At 37.1% G+C, this 27505-nt stretch overlaps 1 protein-coding gene across 11 annotated transcripts in view; it reads right to left on the bottom strand.

The window, feature by feature from the left end:
• The window catches only part of IQCH (IQ motif containing H), a 247019-nt gene that overhangs the window by 165093 nt on the left and 54421 nt on the right, over positions 1-27505 (bottom strand). The window lies entirely within an intron of this gene.

The raw sequence follows: 27505 nt of genomic DNA, 5'->3' as shown, positions 1-27505 counted from the left end.
ACTATTAAGATTTTGTTCAATTTTAATGACTACAATATACAAATGCTAAATCTTGACAGAGGAGGTTTTGAATACAGCAAAGTTTTGTACCAAAAAATTTCCCAGGAAATAAATGTTAGAGTGTTAATGTTAAAACAAAAAACCTGGAAGACTTAAAAGATAAACATGTCAATCAATATTAATTCTGGGTAGATTCTTTTGCAGATCTCAGAGATGGTTACAAAGACACAATATCTAGATCAGTTAGAGAAGATAATTACTTTTCCTAAAGTCATAAAATGCTTTTATTACAGTTACAAAATATGAATTGTTTCTATTAAATGGTTTCTAGATTTTAAAGATTACATATATTGCATATAAATCACATTTGATTGTATAGTCCAACTATACTATTTTTACCTTTATCGTAGGAGTTTATGAATTACCTGGGTTCTCTCAGCAGGGAAAATGCAACTTTGGTATTTATAGTTTGGTATTTATAGACTGAATTTTCAAGTCATTTTCCAAACATTAATTAATTTACATAACTTCCAAGGGAACTAGGTAACAGTTTGCTATTTAACTAATAAAGAACTCAAGACAGAAAGATTAGAAATTTGTTTCAGGCCATGCAGTATACTAGATATGCACAGATTATTCAATTCTGAAATTAATCTGATTTTACATTGGTAAAATTTGCCATTGGACTCGGTTGCACAATACCTTATTGCCATTAAGGTCATAGTGACTTTAAGGAAAAAGAAAGGGAAAGCTTCATCAAGACCAGAGGGAGAAAATCACTTTACAAAATAAGTATCTATTAGCTGAGAAATGTCTGGACAAAGGGTTAGGGCCCCCACTGCCAGGATGTGGTAACACCATGAACATCAAACACTTTGATGATGTTTGGTAAATAAATAAAAATAGTATTTTGAATAGGAAAGAGTAGACTGTTAGTGCAATCTGTTTCTCCCCAGGTGAGTCAGAAGGGGAAAGGGAGGTGCTACCAGCCTCGCCTTAATGAGAGTGCAGGACTCATAAGAAGATTTATTTATTATGAGACTCTGGTCTTCCTGATCCACATTGGTTTCTTGCCCTTATCCTCAGCTCTCCTCTCCCCACCTCATCTCCAGACATGAGTAGCTTCCAGGATCTCCTCCTAATCAGTAAGGCTGAGATATCCAATGCACTGTGCTCTAGCAGGCATGTACATAGCTGAGAATATTCAATATCAAAAGCGGCAGGGTCTCCACTTGTCTGATTGATATAAAGGTCAGTGAGACAAAGGTAAATCGGAGGAAGAGAGAAAGATTCAACTTAAATAAAACTGTCAAGCACTGTGATGATGTAAAATATAGGTTTGGCAGTTTCAGGACAAAGAGGATAATTTATCCGGATTTTCTCAAAGCCTTTGACAAAGAACACCTGACAACCTGCTCTGACAAGCTAAAGTAGCAGGATCGAACATAAAACACAACATAAAGGATGACACAAAGGAGAGGACAGTAGGCAAGTGATGTTCAGACTCTGTCAGGCAATCAGCACATTCATCACACTGCTTTAATTCTTTCAATTGCATCAATCTAAACAATGTAAAAACCAGACCGAAGAACTATGCTGAAAAGGCAGTGAGGTGACTGTGTGTGTAGTGTGTGTGTGTGCACGTGTGTGTGTGTGTATGTGTTGGAGAATGGAAGGTGGTGTTTTCGTTGACAGAAATAAATCCCTCAGATAGTGTCACTGGATAGGAAACATCTGTCCACTCTGCTGTCCTCTTCCATGGTAAGGATAATCACTTCTGCGTATGCTTGGTTGGAGGGTGAAGGAATGAAACAACCTTCAGCATTTACTGAGCACTTACTATATAACACTAACTTTAACACGCTGAGCATTAAATTTCATGAGCAATGGAAAAGCTAAGGGCTGTAGGAGTATAGAAGAGGGAGTAATTAACTCTGCCTGCTTGTATTGCAGAAGGCTTTGCAGCGACTCTCAGCCCTGGCTGTATATTAGAATCGCTCAGGGAGCTTTTTAAAAATACTGCCGCCTGGGCCCCAACCCTGGGACCCAACCCTGGGCAATTAACTCAGAATAGGTAGGCTGGGGCCTGGGCCTCAGTATTTCTAGAAAGCTCCCCAGGTGATTCTGATGCGTAGCCAAAGTTAAGATGTACTGCAGTAAGTGACATTTAAATTGCATCTTAAATAAAGCACTAAATTATATCAGGTGGAGAAGAGGATGCAGTTATAGGTAGTAAAAGTGGTAGCAATGGTGCAAAACAGCATATTTCATGCATGAAGATTTCACTGACGAGAAGGAGCTCTATGTGACTGGAGTATAGGGTATGGGTATGAGAAGGAGGGTAGGATGGGGGAATGAGACTGGAAAGGTAGATTGAGACTGATGCAAATTAAAGAAACCAGCTTTATGAATGTGCTGATCGCCTGAAAGGATTCAAGTATCATCTGCTGTGGCTTCTTCTTTTTGTCATGTTTTTTATTATATTTTATTCTGCAACCACACTTTGTAGTTTGTATAATATGATATAATATAAATCATATTATAAATAGAACAATGTCCCTTCTAGCTAGTTTCTCATTATTATTTCCTCAACTGGAATTCAGAACTTTATCACTTGATGCTAAATCTTCTATAATAGCTTAAAATTTTTTTTTCAGACAGGGCCTTACTCTGTCACCCAGGCTGGAGTTCAGTGGCACGATCACAGCTCATTGCAGCCTTCACCTCCTGAGCTCAGATGATCCTCCCACCTCAGCCTCCCAGGTAGCTGGGACCACAGGTGTGCACCAACACACCTGGTTAATTTTTTGTATTTTTTGTAGAGACAGGGTTTCGCTATGTTGCCCAGGCTAGTCTTGAACTCCTGAGCTCAAGCCATCCTACTGCCTTGGCCTCCCAAAGTGTTGGGATTACAGGTGTGAACCACTGCACCCTGCCAAAAATTTTTGAAAATGTAAAAAATATAGAAAAGCTTAAAGAAGAAAACAGCAATCATATTCCCATCAGCCAGAATTAACTATTGTTAATATTTTGGCATATTTGCTTCCAGTGTTTTCAAATAGAAAAACCATTCTATTTTATTATTTTGGTAAAAATGATGTATGCCCATTATAAAGATTTCAAGCAGTGTAGAAATACAAAAGACAAAAGTTTAAGAGATCATGCCAAATATCATCAGGTGATCCATCGTCCCTGACATCTTTAGAATGATATATCCTTGTATAAAAAATAGGACTTATGTTATTAATTTTACATGAGGAAAAAAGGCTGAATTAAACCTAACACATTATTAAACTTCAAATAAATATTTCTTTACCACAAGATTTCTCTGAATTAAAAATGATTCCTCTGCAAGGGCTGGCAAATTTTTCCTTAAAGGGCCAAATAACAAACATTTTAGGCATGAAGGCTCTGTTCAGATTTGTTGTTTTGTAGTTAAAAGCAGCAGGCAGACAATTTGTAAATAAATGAGTGAAGCTGTGGTCTGAAAGTTAGTGTCCCTCCTAAATTCACATGTTGAAACTTAATCACCAATGTGATACTTTTAAGAGATGGGGCCTTTGGAAGGTGGTTTGATCATGAGGATGGAATCGTCATGAATGGGATTATAAAAAGAGACCCCAGAGAGCTGCTATGTCCCCTCCACCATGTGAGGACACAGAGAAAAGGCGCCATCTATGAACCAGGAAACAGGTCCTCACCAGACACCAAATCTGCCAGCAGCTTGATTTTGGACTTCTCAGCTTCCAAAACTGTGAGAAATAAATTTCTGTTATTTATAAACCACCCAGTTTATCGTATTTTTGTTATAGCAGCCCAAATGGACAAAAACTTTATTTACAAAAACAGGTGGCCTGCCCTCAAGCAGTAGTTTGTGTACCCCTGCTCTAGAGTTAAAGTTGACTCTGAAAAATGTTTAGATCTATTTACCACGATTTTATTTTGAATACTATATCTTAGCTTCAAATGGTGAGAAAATTAGAACTCTCTTGATGTCCTGATCTCCACTCCCTCACCTCCCCAATCTTGATTGTATCTTAATTTTTGCACCATCCAGATTTATAATGTTCACATTCTGTTTTGGTACCATGATTCTATAATTGTTTAGTATTAGCTCTACATATAAATGGGTCCAGTGCTCACATATAGTTCATTTGTCATGGCTTCTCTGCTTGAGCTCTTTTATTGATCTCTTAATTGGCTAGCTTTGGTTATCAAGTAGTTTTTCCCAACAAGTGTTCATGTGTACTTTACTAGAATTAAAGCAAGTCATACTTGAATTACATCTGGGGTCATCCTTTCTTTTCTCCAAATTTTGTAGACATTGCACCATTTTCTTCCACAATGATAATTATTGTGAAGTCTGACAGCCATCTGCTTTTCCACCCCTGGTTGGTGATTTACTTTCTTCTCATCTGGATGTCTGAAGCATTCTTTGTCTTTGAAATCCAAATATTTAACTAAAATATATTTGTATGTTAAATATTCAAAATCAAATTTTCCTGGGATTTGATGTTTTCTTTTTACCTGTAGACTCAGTTCTTCCTTGACTTTGAGAAAATTTTCTTACATTATATTATCGAATACCCTTTCTCTTTCATTTTCTGGGTTCTCTGGTTTAGGGACACCAAATATCCTTAAATGTTGGCTCATCCTTATCTTTCATATTGTGGTACTTGGTTCCTTTTAGAATAGGACATCCTGAGTTTTAGCTGAGTACATGTCTGTCCACTTACAGAATACATTTCCCAGCATCCCCTGTGGCTAAATGTGGACCAGTGACCAAATTCCAGCCAATAAGTTGTAAGCAGAAGTGATCTGTGTAACCTCTGGGTCATGTCCTCAGAGTGCTTGGCAGTACTATCATCATCCTTCCTAAGGGCTGAAATGTGGGTGTGGAGAGGAGCCAGCTTCCACCACTGGGATTAGAATGTCCTGTAACTACTGTAATGAGGAGCTGATGGAGATCAAGATGAAAGAAATCGTATCTTGAATGACTGTGTAGAGCAGAGCTGTCCTGCCAGCCTTGGACTTCTCACTTGTGGACTGTTTTGAGAATGAGAAATACACTAATTTATTTAAGTCATTATATTTTTGGATTTCTTTCTTATAGTTTGTACCAAACTAATAGGTATATCTATTAGCTTCTAATTAACCTCCTTTGTCTTTTTCTTCTGCATTTACTGTACTTAAAGTCTTTTCTCTATGTCAGTATTTTAATATTCAGCAGTGTTTGTTATGTTCATTGTATTTATAGTTTATTTATGAGTTCCATAAAGTATTCTGGTATTCAATTTGTTTCCTTATATCTGCAAGGATATATATCCCTTATATCCCTTTTTTATTCTTCTATTTTATCATCTCATGTTTGAGCTCTAGTTTAAATTAATTTATGTTCTCTTTAAGTTGTAGTATAATGTGAAGTAATTGTGAGAAAATTCCTTCTGCTCCTTCATTTATGTTTTTTCTAGGTTAGGCTTTGTCTTTTGCAGCCCCTAATTCTCCCTTCCATTTCCCCTCCCTTGCTTTCGTTAGCTGTGGGTGAAATACTGACTTGGAGAAAATACAAAGACCACAGGAAATCCATATAGTGACCATATCATTTCTTTTTCTCTTGTGCATACTTGGGTAGCTCTGTCCAGACATTCTACTTGCTGTGATGTAGAATCTCCTCTCCCATTATCTGGTACCAGTGTGTGATCTCTCCCAGCAACATGTGAGAACTGGGCATTCTGGGTTTTTTTCTACCTTTCTGTTACCTGAGGGCTTGGATGGGGGTAAGCCTCTGTTGAGGTATGCAGTCCTTGTTAAAGTTTTTAGGCTCTCCTGCCTGTCTTGAGATCTTGAGAAATATCCTCCATCAGGGCTTGCTTACTTAGTTGAAGATAAGGCCATCCCTCCCTACCTTCAACCCCATGTTATGGAAGAGGAAAACTAAGAAGCAGAAAGGAAAAATAGCCAAAGCATACAGTTTATCAATTTCAGAGGCAGAATGAAAAATGCATGTCACTGCTTCATGGCCCAGTGGGGCTTTTTTGTTTGTTTTTTGTTGTTTTTTTACTGCACTTTCTTAGTTTCTGATGCTTTCACCAAGCACAGCTTAGGTCACCGGCTCTACCCTATGTCCTACCACTCTGCCAGCTTTCTCAGGTCTTTCTTGGTGCCACTTAAATACAGTAGGAGTCTCACTTCCTCTTGGTCAGGTTTACCAGCATTCTTGGAGACAGAAGAAAATTCCCTGGGGAGGCATCTATAATAAAGGCAAGAATCTTGGGCTTGGAGCACTGGACTGGATTCCTAGCTCTGTCACTTAATTAGCAATGTGCAGAGTGTATGTTATTTAACTTCTCTGAGTCTCAGTTTTATCTTCTGTAAAATAGGAATCCTCTTATCCACAGGGCAAGTAATTTTTATGTAAAGGATCTGCTTCTGGAAGCATTTCATAATTCTGAACTCACATAATTCAAGACAGGCAAAGAATGGCAGGTATGGCAAAGACTGCTGGCTGACATCCAGAAATTACATCTCCCAGACTGCCTTGCAGCTTTCTGTGGCTTTCAGACAAGGTTCTGGCCAGTGGTATAGGAACCTACTGACTCTACTGACTGAAATAAAGACATGATGGTGGGAGCCGAGTAGCCACCGGAGATCACAAGATGCCTGTCCAGGAGGTCAGAGCAGTCAGATGGAAAGTGTGTATGGACCTGACATTGTGGAACTGCCAGACGAGCCACAAACTTCTATGCTCAAACTGTTAATTATGGTTGTATTTAATCTATTGTTATTTTCTACATTTTCAGAGCTCATATCCTAAATAATACAGGACACACACACACACATATATAATTCACTATATATGTGTATATGTGTGTGTGTGTGTGTGTGTGTGTATAATTCACTCAAATTTGAATTATTTCAAACTTTATGTATAAAGCCAGAATTTGGCTAGGTGCAGCGGCTCATGCCTGCAATCCCAGTGCTTTGGGAGGGTGATGTGGGAGGATTGCTTAAGGCCAGGAGTTCGAGACCAGACTAAGCCACATAGTGAGATCCAGGCTCCACAAAAAATAAAAAAAATTATCTGGGCATGCACCTGTAATCTCAGCTACTTGGGAGGCTGAGTGAGGTGAGAGGATTGCTTGAGCCCAGGAGTTTAAGGCTACAGTGAGCTATGATTATGCCACTACATTCCAGCCTGAGTGACAGACAGACCTGGTTTCTATATCATGATACTTTGAATTTATAAAATCCTATTTTACATAAAATTCACCATCACTGTTCTTCCATAAGGCTATTGTGAGGAATTAATGAATTAATATATGGAGATGCACTCCATAAATTATTTTTCACACCAGGAATGGGTTTTTTTCCATGTAAACATTTTATTGAAGTACAACATTTTTTTTTTTTTTTGAGACAAGGTCTTGCTCTGTTGCCCAGGCTGGGGTGCAGTGGTGTAATCACAGCTCACTACAGCCTCGACCTCCTGGGCTCAAGCAATCCTCCTACCTCAGCCTCTTGAGCAGCTGGAACTACAGGTGCACACCACCAGGCCTGGGTAATTTTTGTATTTTGTGTAGAGATTAGGTTTCACCATGGTGTCCAGGCTAGTCTTAAACTCCTAGGCTCAAGTGATCCTCCCATCTCAGCCTTCCAAAGTGCTGGGATTACAAGTGTGAGCCACCATGCCCAGCCACAATATTCATTTTTTAAAAGGCACAAGTGATCAATTGTTATCATGTGACCACTGTGGGTAACTAGTATCCAGAGGAAGGAGTAGAGCATTACAGACACCAGAAGCCCCTTGTGTGCTCCCTCCCAGTCACTACCACAACTCAAAGGCAGCCAGCATTCTGAATTCTATTGCCACCTATTGTTTTTGTTTTCAAACTTTATATAGATTATTACAGTATGTATTCTTTTGTATCTGGCTTTTTTCTTTCAAAACTGGTTGTGAGATTCACCATGTTATTGTGTACAGCAGTATGTTCATGCCATGAACTTTTAAGTATTGATTTTAAGTCATAAATTATACATATTATCAGTAAGACCTGAGCCTCACCTAGCACTTTTTTGCATTTCTTACAATGTTCCTTCTAGAATATTCTCCTCCTCTAGGCTCTGCTATTAAATTCTTGTCACCCTTTAACAACTAGCTAAAACGTAATCTCCTGTAGGAAATCACTTCTGATCTCTTCTTCCTCTGATTTTCTATAGTTTTTCTTTTTACTTATCTTGTTACATTTATAACATATATTGTAATTATTTGTATACTATTCTGAAGGCATTATGCAATTCAAAACTCATTTAATTCTGTCTTATTATCTCAACTGAAGAAGAAAAAGAGCAAAGAATGTTTTAAAAAATAATCACTTAAGACTTTCCGGGAAGGAGCAATTAAAATGAACATATTAGTAGCAAATATTTTCTATTTTGATAAAGGTAATATAATAGCAAGTATTACTTTTATGGTAATGGTGGAGCAGCTTATAAAAGACTCTCTCTCCTGAAGACAATAATAACAAACTCTGGACAAAATGTAAAAAAAAAACTAAAAACAAACAAACAAAAAACCCCCACAAAACTCCAACTATTTGAAGGCACTGAGAATGAAAGCAGGCAGAAGCTAGAGGGTAGCTGATCTTGAAAGAAGGGAACTTCAACAGTTGAGATTTATGTGTGTGTAATTTCTGGCCTGGAAGTACTTCTCAGACTATGAGAGGCAGAGTGGCTATAATTCAAGAAGAAAAACACAGTCTTACTGGCTTGAAAGTCAGAGGATGGAGTTTAGTGCTGTCATAAAAGCTGAAAATAGGGGGAAATAATAGAAATGAGGAAATTGCAAGAAGGACAGGAGATTCCAAAATTTGCAAATAAATGACATATAAATCCTTGGCTGACCTCTGAGCTCCATGTATCTGAAAGAGGTTTTAAAGGAGCCCAGCCAGGATGGAACTGTTAAAGATTTTTAAAAGCTGAGCAGAGATTTCAGCTGCTACCAACCACAGCAAGCATAGAGTCTGGAGTTTGAATCTAGCCAAATTAACTGCCTACTTGAATAAGAATCAGCACTTTAGGAAGCAAGATAACAATTCCAAGTCTCTAGAACGTATCATTTATAATGTTCATAACAATAAAAGTTCTTGTACATACAAAGAAATAGGAAGATGTAGTCCACAGTAAAAAGAAAAAGTAGGCAATAAAAACAGATCCTAAGATGACTCTGATATCAGAATGAGCAGATAAGGACTCTAGAGCTGCTGTTATACATTTTTTTTTAAGATTTGATGTGATTTATTATGCAGCAATGTATCATCAAATCATGGAGTATCAAAATATTCAGACATTGCATGTCCATGCTTCTAAATATTTTAGGTTTTTAAATAGATGACCAAAAGAAATACCAATAATTTTGCATAATGGGTAACACTTAAGCTATGGTGATTCACAAACTCAGAAAGCTTGTAATTGAAAAAAGAAATCATATTTACTTGATTTTGTCTCTGAATTTCCTTATGACTTGTACTCACTTCTAATATAACCACTTCTAATATACTCTCTGCTAATACAATATACCTAAATTATAAATTGAATTATACTTCTCTTTCCTACAGCGAGCCTCCATTTAACAAATGTAAATAGAAATCTGAAAAATACATAGGATATTCTAGATTAAGAATTTCTGTTTATATTTTAAGTAAAATTTTCAATGCTTTAAGTAAATATATTCATATTGATCAGTCCTTAAAATTAACAGAAACCTTTAGTAAATCTTCACATTTTGACAACGATGTTCAAAAACAATGCTTGCAAGGTAAACTAAAATCTGAAATCAATTTACTGAAATATAGAAAGCATTAAAATATTGTAGTGAAACTCAGTGCATATTAACAATTTAGGTTAATTAAAATAATAGGCTGATTTGATATTGAAATATGTTTATATATTCATCTGAAAATTGTTGTTTTCTATAAGCTGCTTGTAGAATTAATAAAAAATGTTTCCCTGTGGATTTCAGGGGATTTTTTTAATTGAAAACTTCACACCAGTTAGAATGACGATCATTAAAAAGTCAGGAAACAACAGGGGCTGGAGAGGATGTGGAGAAATAGGAACACCCTTACACCGCTGGTGGGACAGCAAACTAGTTCAACCATTGTGGAAGACAGTGTGGCGACTCCTGAAGGATCCAGAACTAGAAATACCATTTGACCCAGCCATCCCATTACTGGGTGTATACCCAAAGGATTATAAATCATGCTGCTATAAAGACACATGCACACATATGTTTATTGCAGCACTATTCACAATAGCAAAGACTTGGAACCAACCCAAATGTCCATCAATGATAGACTGGATTAAGAAAATGAGGCACATATATACCATGGAATACTATGCATCCATAAAAAGGATGAGCTCATGTCCTTTGTAGGGACATGGATGAAGCTGGAAACCATGATTCTGAGCAAACTATCGCAAGGACAAAAAAACCAAACACCACATGTTCTCACTCACAGGTGGGAATTGAACAATGAGAACACTTGGACACAGGAAGGGGAACATCACACACCAGGGCCTGTTGTGGGGTGGGGGTAGTGGGGAGGGACAGCATTAGGAGATACACCCAATGTAAATGACGAGTTAATGGGTGCAGCACACCAACATGGCACACGCACACACATGCAACAAACCTGCACGTTGTGCACATGTACCCTAGAACTTAAAGTGTAATAATAAAAAAAAGATTAATGTAAACAACCTCCTATTTCTAAAATATTCTAAATCTCTAATTAATATTAAATATTTTGAGGAAAGAAATTTTGAAGAGATTTTATGCCAAAAATGATAAAAGTCTATGGCACATACTTAGAATTTATAAAACCCAGATTATCAAAGGACATTCTGTAATAAAGCATCAAATGAAAATTATAATTTTAAATCAAAAATAAAATATAAACATATTAAATATTAAGTTGCTATTTGATTATATTAGTAAGTTATTGTTTATTTTCTTAGGTGTTATAATGGCATTTTGGTTATGCAGAATATTTCTTGTTTTGAAGAGACTCATGATGCACTATTTAGGATAAAGTATCGTAAGTATAATGTACTTGCAGACACTTAGCAAACAATACATATATGATTATAAATAATTATATGTACATACTTCAAAAGTGAGTGTATTTTCATTTTAGATAATAGTTATATTGTTATCCATTGTACTATTCTTTTAACCTCTGTATTATTAATGCTATACATAAACAATTGACAAAGGTAGCTTTTTCCCCAACTTTATTAAGGCATAATTGACAAATGAAAATTGCATATATTTAAAGCATACAAGATGATGTTTAGATATATGTGTTATACATATTTTAAGGACCTTAAAAAATAATAATACTAAATGAACACGTGGAAAATCTTGGCAGAGAAATTAAATGTATATAAAAGAGGACTAAATGGAAATTCTAAAACTGAAAGTAAAATATTTCAAATAAAAAATTAATCAAATAGGTTTGACAGCAAATTTGAGTAGGCAGAAGAAAGGGTAGGGAACTTGAAGAGCAATCAATAGCTATTACCTAATCCGAATAACAAGAAAAAAAATTTTACATAATGGTTCTTCAGTGACCTGTAGGACAAAGTCATGTGGTATAATCTGCATGTAATTGAAGCCCCAGAAGGAGAGGAGGGAGAGAATCATAGAGAAAAATATTTAAAGAAACAATGGCCAAAATCTTGCTCAATTTGTTAAAAAAACAGAAGCTTACAGATCCTAGAAACTCATACGATGAACCCCAAGCAGAATAAACACAAAGAAAACTACATTCAAGCATATGATAATCAAACCCCTGGAAGTCAAAGGCAAGAAAATCTTGAAAGCAGCCAGAAAAGAAAAAAAGATCCATTATACCCACAGAGGATCAATTATGTGAATAATGGTTGACTTCTCATCAGAAACAATGGAACTTTAAAGCACTGAATAAGGAAAAAACAAAAAACAAAAAACATGGCTACCCCAAATTCTATACCCAGTGAAAAATCTTTCAAAATAAAGGTGATCTAAATATTTTTTTGACTTCTTTTTTTTTTTTTTTTTTTAGACAGAGTCTCACTGCTGTTGCCCAGGCTGGAGTGCAATGGAGCTATCTTTGCTCACTGCAACCTCCGCCTCCTGGGTTCAAGCAATTCTCCTGTCTCAGCCTCCTGAGTAGCTGAGATAACAGGCATGTGCCACCACGCCTGGCTAATTTTTATATTTTCAGTAGAGGCGGGGTTTTGTCATGTTGGCCAGGTTGGTCTCGAACTCTGGACCTCAATGATCGCCCGCCTTGGCCTCCCAAAGTGCTGGGATTATAAGTGTGAGCCACTGTGCTTGGCCAATCTAAAGACTTTTTTTTTTTTTTTGGACAAAAGACAGGCAAGTGTTACCAGCAGGCATGAGCTTTCTTTTAAGAAATGCTTGAGGCTGGGCGTGGTAGCTCACGCCTGTAATCCCAGCACTTTGGGAGGCTGAGGTGGATGGATCACAAGGTGAGGAGTTCGAGACCAGCAGCCTGGCCAACATGGTGAAACCCCATCTCTACTAAAAATACAAAAATTAGCCAGGCCTGGTGGTGGGTACCTGTAATCCCAGCTGCTTGGGAGGCTGAGACAGGAGAACCACTTGAGCCCGGGAGGTGGAGGTTGCAGTGAGCCGAGATCACGCCATTGCATTCCAGCCGGGGTAACAGAGCAAGACTCCATCTCAAAAAAAAAAAAAAAAAAAAAAGAAATGCTTAAAAAACATTCTTCGAGCTGACAGAAAATGACTTCAGATGACAACTCAGATATATATGGCAAATATAAAAGATAATATCTTTTTCTTCTCTTAATTTCTCTCAAAGACAATTGGCTATTTAAAACAAAAATTATTATACAGTGTGCATTTTATAATATATGTAAAGTAGATGATAACGATAGCACAAAAAATTGGGAGGTCAATAGTTGCAAATTCCTTACATTTTATGTGAACTGGTGCAATATTAACTCCAAAGAAACTCTGGTAACTTAAGGATGAATATTGTAATTCCTAGAGCAACCACTAAAAATAATATGAAGAGGTATAGTTTAAAAGCCATAAAAGATTTAAAATGGAATGTTAAAAATTATTTTAAAATATGTAACCCTGGCTGGGCACGGTGGCTCACACCTGTAATCCCAGCACTTTGGGAGGCTGAGGCAGGCAGATCACGAGGTCAGGAGATTGAGACCATCCTGGCTAACACGGTGAAACCCCGTCTTCACTAAAAATACAAAAAATTAGCCAGGCATGGTGGTGGGTTCCTGTAGTCCCAGCTACTCGGGAGGCTGGGGCAGGAGAATGGCGTGAACCTGGGAGGCAGAGCTTGCAGTGAGCCGAGATCGCACCACTGCACTCCAGCCTGGACGACAGAGCAAGACTCCGTCTCAAAAAAAAAAAAAAAAAAAAATGTAACCCTAAGTCAGAAAACAAAGAATAAGGAACAAAAAATGGATGGGATAAATAGAAAACAAATAGAAAGATAGTTGTGATAGTGGCAGGAGGCAGATAAATAATTAGGCAGATAGGGGCAGGTCCCCAGTGAAAACTGACGAAGGCTGAGACAATTTAAAGCCTAGCTACAAGTCTCAGGTAAATCCTTGGACCAGATTGAGAACCTTTCTTCCCATTTGGTGTGCTTTCCTCTGATTGAACCCACTGTTCACCTATTTTACATACACCTACCCTTTCCTAATTGGTTTTTTACATTGTCATGCCCACCTTTGAGTGGTGTTTTCCCTTTAACCTCTTTTGCATAATCACAAACCAATCAGCACACACTCCCCATTCTGAGTCCATAAAAAGCCCTAGACCCAGCAAGACTGGAAGATAAACCACCCAACTGGTGGTGGGGAACCACCCCCCACATCCCCTGTCCACTGAGAGCTGTTCTGTTGCTCAATAAAATTCTTCTCTGCCCTCCTCAACCTTCAAATTGTTAGCATGATCTCATTCTTCTTGGACGCAGGACAAGAGCTCAGGAACAACTGAACACAGGCAAAAGCTGTATGTAACCTAGGCGGGCTGAGTGGGCAGGGCACCTCCAGCGTCAGGGCCCAGGGCTGAGCAAGGCCCAGGGTGTATGTCGCCAGTTGTGGAGGTCCCCAGTTGGCAAAGTAGACAAGGAAAGTCCTGTGTCAGTTGTTCTAAATCAAACCATATCTAAATTTCATTAAATGGAAATGAACTAAACACTCAAAAAGCGGAGATTATCAGACTGAACTTAAAAAACAGGACATGACTAAATGCTACTCTAAGAAATGCATTTTAATTTTAAAGACACAGGTTGAAAGTAACAACAGAAAAGACTGATATACCATGCAAACAGTAAGCAAAATAGAGATGAAGTAATTATATTAATATCAAAGTAGACTTTAAGACAAAAAGAACTATGAGAGAGGAAAAGAGATTTTTCTTAAACAGATGAAACTGATGAAAGAGTCTTAAACAGATGAAAGTTTCTTATAACCAGGAAAACACAACAATAATAAATGTGAATGTCTCTAATAATATTAACACAAAATATGTAAAACAAAAATTGTCAGAACTAAAGGAAAAAATAGACAAATCTTCAATTAGAGTTGATGATTTTAAAAGCCTCTTCTCAGTAATTGGTAGAACAATTAATTTTTAAAAAATCAGTATGTGCTGAAAATCATCATCCGCTACCTGGGCCTAACATTTATAGAACACCACAAACCAACAATTGTAGGATATACATTCTTTTCAAATGCACATGTAACATTCACCAACATAAATGATGTCCTAGGCCATAAAATAAGTTTCAATCAATTTCAAAAGATTGAAACTGTACAGAGTATATTGTACAGGACAGATATGAATATGGAAAGGGAACTAAATGAAAAGTTTCCAAGTGTGAGTGGAAGCAAAGCTGAGATTGGTTGATTCAATAACCTGGAGAAAACAGTGTAGCCATTTGGCTTCTGATAAAAGCCAAGGCACCCTGCTGCCAAAGCTCAGGACAGGCAGGGCCTAAGGAAAAAGAGAGAACACAGAAGAAAAAGAAAGAGAAGAGAGGGAAAGGAAAGAGAGAGAGGGGAAGAAAGGGAGAGGAAGAAAGGGAGAGAAAGAAAGGAAAGAAAGGAAGGAAGGAAGGAAAGAAAGAAAGAAAGAAAAAGAAAGAAAGAAAAAAGAAAGAAAAAGAAAGAAAGAAAGGAAGGAAGGAAGGAAAGGAAGGAAAGAAAGAAAAGAAAAGAAGGAAGGAAGGAAGAAAAGGCATACATGGGATCATAATTTGCAGAGCTGGAAGGGGTTTTAGGATGATAAAAGGGTAGTTCTAGCAGCAGCAGTGACAAGGGGGATTGTGAACACAGACTTAAAGAATGTGGTGAATAGAAATGACTGGAGGAAACTGCAGCAGAAATACTATTTTGAACACATAGCAGCTATCTGAAGCGTGGGCATCTGCATGTCTCACAGACCCCATACAGCGCATCACATAAAGTAGAGCTATTATGATGTCCCAATCCCCCACAAAAAACAGTAACTTATGGTAAAATGTGACTAATGAAGGAAAGTATGTAATATAGTCTAGAAAATTTTCCATTAAAATTGTTATGAAATCCAGCACTTAAGCAAAATTTCCTAAAGTGTGTTCCTCCGAATATAGTTCTGTGAGCTATTCTGCAGAAAGGGGTTCTGAGGAAGTTTGGGAAACATTGCTAACTGCATTCCCCCTTCTTAAAGATTCATAAGGCACATCAGCGTGTTAGTGACTCCAGGTGGCTTAATGGTATAAAAATCAGTCTGACTATCTTTAACCTCATGTTTCCCAATTTTATGGGACCACAATACTCTTTTTGCATGGAATACCTATTAACATTCCAAAGAACCAGCATTCTTTGGGCTACATTTTAGGGAAAAAAATGATCCAAGGATTAACACATAGCTAACAATGATATAGCTATAATTTGTTAATAGGAGCCCATTCTGTAAAGCTATTAATAAAAGACAAATGATAACTTGATTTTACATAAAACTTTTCTTCGAAGGAGCTTGAGACACACTGGACCCAGAATTTTCTGAGGAATTCAGGTTGACAAAAATGTAATGATTCTTTGTTGCTATTTTTTCTCACTATATTTAATAATATTTATTTGTGGCATTCCAACAGAAATTTTAATCTGGAAAAGTAATTACTAGAGAATAAAGTACTGTCCATTTCACTTACATGACTATTACATTTCATAAGAAAAAATGTGTATACTTGATACCACATGAGAAGAAATGAGTTTAAATGGTAGTCGTTTCAGTTAAGATCTAAGAAAGACTTTGGGAATGAGTTTATCATTTATTATAATTATTTTTGCTATTGCTTTTTATTCCTTATTACAGAGCAGTGTGCCAGTCTCTAGGCATTTTTGTTTAAATACTGGCTGGGGTCATAAGTGAAATAAAGTTTGGTCCTCATTTACCTCATCCCAGCAGTTGGGTTGGCAGGCAGCTGCAGAACTGCTGGGGCTCTTTTTATTTAATTTGGCATCCCTTCCTGAGCAGTATTGAGACTTTTACTTCAATGACTCCACTGGGCTTTGCCATAATTTCTATGCTGTATCAGTAAAGTCTGTGGAAGAGATGCCTAAGCAAACCTGAAAGGAGGCTAGGAGCGCTTACAGTTCAGGTATTTTTGCCGAAGTCAATGAAGAGATTAACCTCAAATACGGTCCATTAAAAAAATTTAACTCATTTAGTAATGAAGCCAATTTTTAAGGAATATTCATTCGATCATTTAAATATTGTATGTGTATGTATGTGTGTAAGAGTTTATCCTTTTTCACAATTTCTCTTCAAATAATTTGTCTAGATTCTGAATCAGATTGTCAAAATAAAATATATCTTCAAATTCTGAAAGAGCCATATGTAAATTATATGACTCGGAAATTGGGAGTGACAATGTCTCTAATATGCTCTGAGTATTAAAAGTAGTAACAAGTAAAAGTGATGAGGACAGGTTGCATATTTTGTTGCATATATAGAAAGCACTCAACAAATGCTCTGTTGAATGCATAAATTGAAAAAACAATACCTTCTGTGAACTTTATTTCCACAATCAGTACAGAAAACAGTTTCACCTGGTCTACTTTTCAGTCTCACATGTCACGTGTTGGTGTTCATAAATGAGGAAGGAAGGAAACCAAAGGAAACAGACTTCGATCAGAATTATGGATGGTGAGAACTAGAAGAGATCTTAGAGATGATTTGATCCAGTATCTCAAATTGGCAAATAAACACACTAAAGCCCATGAAATATAAGTGATTTGCCCCAAGAATATCACCTAGGAATTAGTGCCAGATCTAGGATTGGAGCGTAATATAAACATGGACTTTTCTTGTAATGAGGATTGTCAATATTATATGAGGTTATGATGTTAAGGATTTCTTTCTCTCTTTCTCTTTCTTTCTTTCAACAGAGTCTCACTCTGTCACCAGGCTGGAGTGCAGTGGCCCCATCTCGGCTCACTGCAAGCTCCGCCTCCCGGATTCATGCCATTCTCCTGCCTCAGCCTCCCTAGTAACTGGGACTACAGGCACCCGCCACCACGCCTGGTTAATTTTTTGTATTTTTAGTAGAGATGGGGTTTCACCATGTTCGCCAGGATGGTCTCGAGCTCCTGACCTCGTGATACTGCCTGCCTCGGCCTCCCAAAGTGCTGGGATTACAGGCGTGAGCCTCCACACCCGGCCCTAATTTCTTTATTTCTTCTTTTTCAAACATCTTACTTCAGCCTAACCCATCCGGAGTTTTCTTCGTATAGAGTGCAAGGATAGGATTTAATCTAATTTTCTTCCCCTAAATCATTAGCCAAGTGACTTGGCACCATTCATCTAACAAGTCCTCCCTTTCCCATTGACTTACAGTGTCACCTTTATTACATTCCAAGTTATTTCTTACACTAAGGGCAATATCTACGCTGAGTTTTTTATTCCATTGATCTATCAATTTTTCTACCCATGGAAATAATTATTGTAATTTTATTATATGTTTTAATAAGTGGTATGAAAAGTTCACCTTCATTAATCTTCTTTAGGGGGAAAAAAAGAGGCCTTTTGCCTATTCTTCAAGATGATGAATACTAGCAAGTTGAAAAAATTAATATTCCATGCAAACCAAATAAAACCCATAGGAATTTTGATTGGAATTACATTGGACATAAAGATTAATGTGGGAAGAACTGGCATACTTATAAACATTTTCCTTCTCAGGAATATGATATGTCTTTCCATTTATTCAAGTGTTCTCTGATGTTGTTCATTAAAGTTTTGGAGTTTTCTTCACATAGGTCCCCCATTTTTTATGTGAAGATTATTACTAGGTACATGTGTTCCTCATTAGAGAGGGGACTGTGGAGAGGGAGAAGAGAAAGAAAGAGAAAGAGAGAAACAAAAAGGAGGGAAGGGAGAAGGAAGGAAAGGAAGGCAAGAAGGACGAAGGGAGAAAGATCATACATCCAAACATGGAAAACAAATCCATTTAAAAGTTCATAATAATTATCTCTAGGTGGAGGGACTGAGGTTACATAATTTTTTATCTTTCAACCCTTGTATTTTCCAAGTTTTCTTCAATGAGAATGTGAAAAAAGTGTTACAATCAGAAAATTGGGCATGGGGGTGAACAAAGCTTCATGTTTGCTTCCTAAAGCCAGCTGCTATGTTGACTACCTGGGCCTTGGGTTCACTTCCAAAACATAAGTCCTAGGATTGTGCTACAATCACCTAAGGGAAGCCGTGTGTAGGGCTTGGGGGTGGGAAGAAGGAGATGGAGAGATGAGAGAAATATGGCTCAAAACCATGCCCATGAAACTAGACAGACCCTCCCTGCCCTGTCACTTCTCTACAGAATCCTTCCTCTTCATTCAATTACATTTTATTGAATTAAATTAATCATTTATTGAGTACCTTCTATGCATAATGCATTTTGTAAGGTACCCTAGAAGATATTTAAGTGAAAAAAATATGGCTCTTGCCTTCCAGGAGATCTAACAAGAGGAAAAGATACGAAGTCCCTTTTCAATTCAAGGTATACCATATGAATGCTTTAAAAGCATGCTATGATGGCCTAGGCAAGAGAAAATTAATTCTACCTTAAAAGAGCTGGATAGACATTATCATGGACAAAAAGAGGGCTGGCCAGGTGTGATGGTCACACTTGTAATACCAGCACTTTGGGAGGCTGAGGCAGGCAGATCATTTGAGGTCAGGAGTTCGAGACCAGCCTGGCCAACATGGTGAAACCCTATCTCTACTTAAAAAATACAGAAATTAGCTGGGCATGGTGGTGTGCACCTGTAATCCCAGCTACCCGGGAGGCTGAGGCAGGAGAATCACTTGAACCTAGGAGGTGGAGGTTGCAGCAAGCTGAGATCACGCCAGCCTGGGCTACAGAGTGAGACTCCATCTCAAAAAAATAAAAATAAAAAAGAAAAAGAAAAACTTAACATAGTTCTCACTCAATTATACAGGTCTTTAACAAGGTATTATTCAAAGTCACACACAAATAAATGCAAATTTATATGGCATTCTGACAAGGTTGGACATTACATCTGAAGTTAGAGATATGAACGTAGTTGGGGAAGTTTTCATCTTAAAAGTACTAGCTCATCTTCTTGTTCTAGTCCTTGAGTTAACACAGCCTTTTATTAAATACTCTGATCTTTTACTTCTGCCTCAGATTGGGGCAGAGAAATTTCCTCATTGAATTCCTTGGTCATTAAGAAAGCAATCTTTGACTGGGCCCAGATCTGTCCCTCAAATGCAGGTCAAAATCACCACCCTCAAAGCTACCTGGAAGGTAGTATAGAAAAGGATAAAGAATGCTACGTTGAAAGTCCGACTGGTTGAGTTTGAATTATGATCCTTTGACTTTTAGCTTGTATGACTTTGGGTGAATTTTATTTAACTGCTTTTTTGCCTCAGTTTCCCCAAATGTAAAATGAAAGTAGGAATAGTACTTACCTCTTAGGGTTACTGTGAAGATTACATGAGATGATCCATGTAAAGTGTACTTAACACCATGCCCAACTCAGAGAAGCCCTCAGAAATGTTAGCTATTGCTTTATAGCTAAATTTTAATTTATATTCCCTTCTATTAAAGTCCAGTATCTACACTTTAAACTATGGATAAATGGAATACTAAACCCAAGATGGTAGAAAGTTGGTGATAGGTACTTTCCCTGGGATGTAAATGTTTAGATTAAATGCTAATTCCATAAATTAGATGACATAATTCCACAAGTAAAATGGTTACAGTTTGAAAATCCTTATCTTAAAAAGTAAAACCTCCTGCCCAAAATTATGGTTATGTTAAACTAACCCAGTATTAGATATGGAGTAAACTTTTAAATGAGTGGAGAAGACAATGCTACTGCTCTCTTGGGTCACTGTTTTCACTATACAACTCCTCCTGATAATCTTCTATAAGGGTCAGCCCCATCTTAAGTGAGAAATGGAAAAGGGCATTTTGGAACTCAGAAAATTGAGTTTTCTTAGGAACAATCTTAAAGTGGTTAGGTCCCCAGGCAAGCTCATATAACGTATTAGTACATCTGAGCCCAACCATTAGACGTATCTGGGCCTCTCACCAGCTACACAAGGAGAAAGGAGAATTATTTTTCTCTAAAAGTAACTCCTGGTGGCTTTGGGAAGATGAGGAGATAAGGAATCTCCTTATTTTTCTCTTTCTCCTCCTGATACATTCTGTTTGTTCCAGGCAGGGTTTCTCTCATCCTCTGGATAGTATAATTACTCAGATAGGACGTATAAACTAGTGACAAGGAGATGTGCCACCCCTTACCCCAAATGGGAGTGTTAAACTAGAAAAACAGATACATGATCAATGTGGACAGATCCATGCAGAAGCTGACTTAAAAGATTCAAAAAGGGAATGTAGTCTAATTGGTGTTATCAAAGACATAAGACATCAGCTGAAGGCGAGTGGTATTTCATAGCAGGAAAGTAGTAAAAAGGAAGGCAATGATTAAGAACACAGGCTCTAATATCAGATAGAGCCTGATTCTGAGTTCTATCACTTACTAATTGAATGACTGGAGAAAGTAACTTAATTTCTCTATACTGAAGTTTCGTTACCAGTAAGATGGAGATAATATCACTCATTCCACGGGGATTAATGTGATATAACATAATGCACATAGTCAACCCCAAGCAGATAGTAGCTATTAATATTTATTATAAAAAGTTGAATTGGAGAGTCAGAATTTCTCAGTATCCATAAAACACTCACTTTACAGGGATGTATTCATATCCTTTTGGCAAATGTAGCTTCACATATGGGTGCATCAGACTATAAAAGTGTGATTCTGCTGCTCACCAAGAAGACTGTCCAACTAATTACCTTAGTCGGTTTCCCTGTTCACTAAGCAGCCTTCTAACTGGATTCTGTGTAGCTTTCTAATAAGGAGAAAATATGCTCATCAGATCAGGCTGATTTGAACATTCAGGTCTGTTTGACCATGATAGCTCTCCTCAGAATACATAAAGTGGCATTTCAGTTTGTACATCAGTCTCTTATGAGTTCAGCTGTACCCAAGAGATTGACTGACTCTAACAAAATCAAATCTCTAATCCTATAAAGTCAAGGGTTAGATCTTGGGCTTCACTAAGGTATTAGCAGACTAATGGGCTCTAAGTTGCCAGCCAGCTGCCTATAAGACATCAATATTATCATACCTAAAACCATACCTCTTCCTGTTTCTGAACCAGAGGATTTAAATTGTTGACTTGCAAGACAGGAATAGCCTAAAGAATATTTTCTTCGAACTACACAGGGTTTAAGAAAATTATCTGATCACACATTTAAAAATTAGATTTCACAAAAAATATAAGCATGACTTTCCAGCTTCTTTTGGAAACCCAGCCACAAAAGGCTAGAGCTAAGGTGGCTACCTCCTGGAGGGAAGGCCTGTGTCCTCAGTTCAGCACTCCAGTAATGTGGACCTAGCCTTTACACTCAGTCATTTCAGTAACTTATTATCTGCCTGACCCAATACAACTATGTTGTGACTCCTATTTTAAATAAGAACAATTTGGACATTTTCTAAGGGTTTTTACTGCTTATATAAAAGAAAAAAATGTCAGGAAGTAAAAAGCCTGTTCCATGAACACCACTTTTCCTTTTTTTTTTTTTTTTTCATTTAGCACAAAGAGATGATAAGTTTGGAAACACACCCATCTTTCAGAAAACATTTGGATTAAGATAGTCTCTTGGGCATTTCTGTGCATTATTAGATTGGGAAGACAAGGGAGTTGGGGAGAGGGTGAGAGTGGGAGAGGAGGCTCATACTGTCCAGTGCTGAGGCTGGGAAGTGGCAATAGGAGAGTTGGGTGGGGGATGGGGGTCAGAAAGTGTGAGGAATCAACCATTCCTACTCTCTATCCTTTTCTCTTGCCACCACTTCTCTTGCCCAACAAGTCCTGCTTTTATCTAATGTTGGAGAGAGGGGTGAGAAGTAGGGATCAGGGATGAGGTTACAGGCAGAATTGTAAGTAGTAGTGGGGCATACAGCATTAGGACAGAAAGTAAGAGCGACTGAGAGGAAATCCCAGCCATCCAGTTAGATTGGCCAGTTCTGAGTGGCCATTTATATGAAAGGGACAGAGAGTTGTATGTAAATGGTCAGGGGAAGGTGCTGCCTGCAGAACTCTACTTAGGCAGTTTTATGATCATCTAACAAGTTCAGGAGATAATGTTATTCAAAAAAGTACTATTGCTTTATAGCCAAAGGGAGAGGAAATAAAGTTTAATAACTAATGAGGACATCAAGGGATAGAGATCATTCTAAAGAATTCTAAAGTTGCCCTTCAGTTAAAGCAGCTGGAGAAGTGATCTAATTTCAGAAGCTGTCTGCATTAAGCCCTGCCTTCTATGATCCTGACTGAAAATCACACAGTTGGATTTCAGTGGCCCATTCAAGGCCATCCATCAACTGGCCTCCACAGCCAACCACATCTTTTGGTTTCTACAACTTGATTAGGCAAAGCTCTAAGCCATCCTCTGTTACTCTCACTATTCTCTACCTCTGCCTTTGCTTGTATTGCTTCTGGTACTTAAAATGCACAACACCTCTCCTTTAGTCTTGCCCATCAGTTCCTCTAAGGCCTATCTTAAGGCTTGCCTCCATCCATCAATTACATTGATCCTTGAGAGACTAGTGGTTCCACAAGGAACCAAATGAGCATTAATCTGGGAGTCACATAACCAGGACTGTGGCCCTGACGATGATTCTGAAGTAGCCAATTTATCTTTTCAGTATGTAGATAAAGAATTTGTCTTTAGAGACTAAGTGGTATACCTATGTTAACTTGGTTTACAGCACCAGAATTGAGAGCAGGATTGAAAACCCAAGTCCTCTGATTCTCCATCTACGGCTCTTTCTACTAAAGCATGCATGGCTGTTTTCAGACCTCTTAGTTGCCAACCATAAACTGATTTATTTTTCAGGCTATTGTGAAGATTATATAATCTTTTAATATAAATAATCAATTATATAAATCTGGTATTTTCAGGTCATATTGCCCAAACTTTATGGCCTAATGAGAGGAATCTCCTCTAAGTAAGTATCTTCTGGGTTTACTTTACACATTCTGTAGTATAATTCAGAGGCAATGCTTTTAAAGAAAATGTAGGGCGAATCACTCTAGTCTATGGGTACTTACTTCTATTCTACCAAGGAGGTTTTAAAAGTCTAGGAATGTATACTTGAATTCAAGTACAGTTTAAGGTACAATGGGTTAGAATACTGGAGAACACAGCAATAGTATTTATTCATCTCAAGAACCTCTCAGTAGATAATTAACCTGGACCATGATAAAAACAATCCTATTAGTCCCATTTCTCTTGTGGCTAATGCTATCACACTACTTGCTGAAGTATTTTTCCTTTGCTTCATTTTAAACAGAACACTTACTATATTATTGCAAGCATTACCACTTTCGTAGCTGCTCTATTTTCCTCCTTGCAACAGAAAAGCAACAGTAATTAGGCAAAAGCATAAATTTTATATTTTAACTCAAGAAGATGTAATTCTTATAAAAATCTGGGCTGGTAGTCTAGACGTATCCACTTTTCCATAGATTTTTGGCACCATCAACTAAGAGAAGTGGATATTTCACCCATAAAGAATACAGGGTTTTTAGGATATTTCTCTGTTCTGATGCATACTTTGTCCCACACTGGATTTTTGCGTGAAAGAAAAGATCTATCACGGCTCTAACTTTTGGGACGTCGTGAACCCCTTTGGCAATCTGGTGAAGCCTACAGACCCCTTCTCAGAATAATGTTTTATAAATGGATTAAATAAAATACATGGGAACCTATTATACTGAAATACAGTTCTACCCATAGACCCCTGTACCCTAAACCTATCATAGGTGTGACACAGTTCCCTCTGTCTATTGAAATACAGTTCTACCCATGGACCCCTGTACCCTAAACCTACCATAGATGTGACACAGGTCTCTGTGCCTACCTAAATTTGGCTTTTCAAAGTGGAATTAATTTTGAGGTTAGAAACACTATCTCTCAGTATGTAATCAAACAAATACTCAAGTTCAAGGCCCAAGTCATAAAGTGAAAAGGCACAAAGTAAAAGTATATCATAGGGGAGCAGGCCTAGTCCTGTTAGCAGGTGGCTGCTGACCTGGAATGATTTCAGAGCAGTGCAAAGGCTCTCTTCCTGGATTCCCCCAAATCCCTCTTCTCTCTGTCCACTCATGCTTGAAATCCCTTAATAGAGCCTAACTCCTTTGTTTTAATTAAGTAGCGGATTTGCTCTTGTTAAAAAATAAATACCCATGGGAGAGGTAATACTTGATGCCAAAGATTTGCAAATTTATTTTCAGCAGTAGAACAAGTTTTTCAAATGCAACCTTAAATAGATGCTGATAAATAAGTAAATGCAAATTTTATAAGAATTTAGTATAATTGTGTATGTCAAAACATATATAAGTAACAATTGCATATAGTATTATGTACCTATATGTATATAATTGTTACTTAAATATAGTATGTGCTTACATTATATATTATATAAATATTTATATTATATATTTACTATATATGTATTTATATTATATATTTCTGGTTATAGCAATATAAACCAACACTGGAAACAATAAGGCTGTTTTGATGAAGACAAATTATGAAATCAAGAGTTATAAATAACTGCAGTCTTACATCTATCACAGAATACAATTTGTTTATATATTTTATTTTGCCTGCACAAGATGTAGAAAATCCAGATGTTAACAAATAAGTAATTTCAAATAGCTAACAATTTGTTATGGTAGTTATAATCTCAGAATTTAGTTCAATTAAAATGATCCAGAAACTTTAAAATAGTAGAAATTTTTTGTTTCAAAATAGAATGACTAACAATATCTACCAACTGCTTACATTCCTTAATAATTAAGGATTAGTTGGTAAGTAGTCAATTGGGGGATATTTGACAAATAGATTTCATAATTAATTTGAATCCTGACTCCCCTTGCTTACCACACAACCTCAGGCAAGTAGCTTAATCTTAGTCTCAGTTTCCTTATCTATAAAATGATTATAAAAATGGCACCTACTTAGAGGTGTAAGGGTTAAATAAGATAGTGTACATAAAACACTGTGTCTGGCAAACTTAATAAATGCTACTACAATTGAAGAGCTAAATTACCAAAAATATTTTTCAAATGTGTCATGTAACATTTTAGGATGTTCTATCACATCCCATTTAAATTTCTTTTCAGATATCTCGCCACCCTTCTCTTTCAGACAGTCACTGAGTTTCAAAAAAATCTAATTTTGTTTTGCATGTTGAGTCCAAATTTTGACATTATGCTTCATTGTTGACTTTTATCTGCAGTTGTAAACAGAATAACATTGCAACCTTGCACTGTCAAAGATTGTATAGCTCATTTCAAATCATGTAAGAACCAACCCAAACTTAAATCAAGCAGTGAAACAATCTGTGATGCTACACTATCATGATATGGCTATATTATTGTAATTGTATACTTGACTATTATGCTGTGCCAAAAGTATGCACCAGAGAACTTTCCTGGCTTTTAATTGATAGTAGCACACATGTGTTCTAATACTAATACCAATTAATGTTTCTTGAATGATTACGAGGAGTCAGGCACTGCTTTATGACCTTCACACATATTAGCTTATTTAATCTTTGCTTATTTATTTGTATGATTATTACAGGAGTGTATATGAGCAGATCTGAATTTCAAAATATGACTAGTACAAAGCTACACCCTATCTAATAAAAAACACCTTTATGGGAAATTCAAATGTACACACACACACTCAGAGTAAGCCTGAAAGCACAAATTAACCCACTGACGATCAAATGATCAAATGCATTAAAATTTGGCATCAATTGAAATATGTAGGTATTCTTCTTTATTATACTTAAAATGCTTAAATATTTATCATTAAAAATCAAATGCAAATTAAATGCTTAGAACCCCTCTGAAACTCACTGGAGTTCTCCAATTTGAAAATGAACATTAAATCCTATTACTCACTTACACTAGGATGTAAAAGGAGCCAAATCAGATTCTTTTCTAAAAGCATAAGTGTGAAGAAGGAAATGAGAGATTTTTAACACTAATTCATTTTTCAGGAAGGTAAGAACCTTATTAGGTACCCATTATGTGCCAGCAATGTTAATATATTATCTGTATTCTCCATAGCACCCTTATCTAGTAGGCATCATTATCTTGACTTGACAAAAGAGGGAACACCGGATCTGAAATGTAATTTGCTTACCTAGGGTTCAGTAACTGCAAAATAGCAGATAGGACCCAAACTTTGATCTACTCAGCTCCAAGCCCCTCCCAGCACACCAGATTGCCTCTCCATCTTGCTTCCCCCATTCATAAAACAGAAAAATGAGAATGAGTGAGACAGAGTAACCTGCTCTTGGAAACACTAGTTAGTTAGTGGCAAGGCTGCAACAGGAATCCAGTAGTACCAGCATTTCACTAGGTAAATCCTATCAGATGGCCCATGGAGAGGGTATCCTGTGCAACTAGGCCTACTAGGAGCCAGCAAAATCATTACTTCACTTCAAAACTCAACATCAGTCTATATAGCTTCAGAGCAGAGACTAGACAGAGGAGGGGACAAATCAGTCCTGTCCTTAATACCTAATATGTGTAAAACACTGCTTGGTGCAGGGGAGGATTTGAAAAACAGACAAACAGAACAGACAACAAGGTCCCTGTCCTCATATCTGTGTGGGAAAGAAAGCATAATCATGTAAAATATTAAATAGCATCCCTGGAGGAGACCTCAGCAATATTCTGGTTCCCTCCCTGGACCCCTACAATAATATGTTTTAAATGACAGTATAAAACAATGGCACAATACAATATATGAGACTTGCCAATAGTAATAACTAATATTTT

This window comes from Homo sapiens, chromosome 15 (genome assembly GCF_000001405.40).
Source record: "Homo sapiens chromosome 15, GRCh38.p14 Primary Assembly".
NCBI classification, from domain to species: domain Eukaryota; kingdom Metazoa; phylum Chordata; class Mammalia; order Primates; family Hominidae; genus Homo; species Homo sapiens.
Note: the sequence above shows the minus strand (reverse complement) of the source record. Positions and strands in the feature narration are given on the sequence as shown.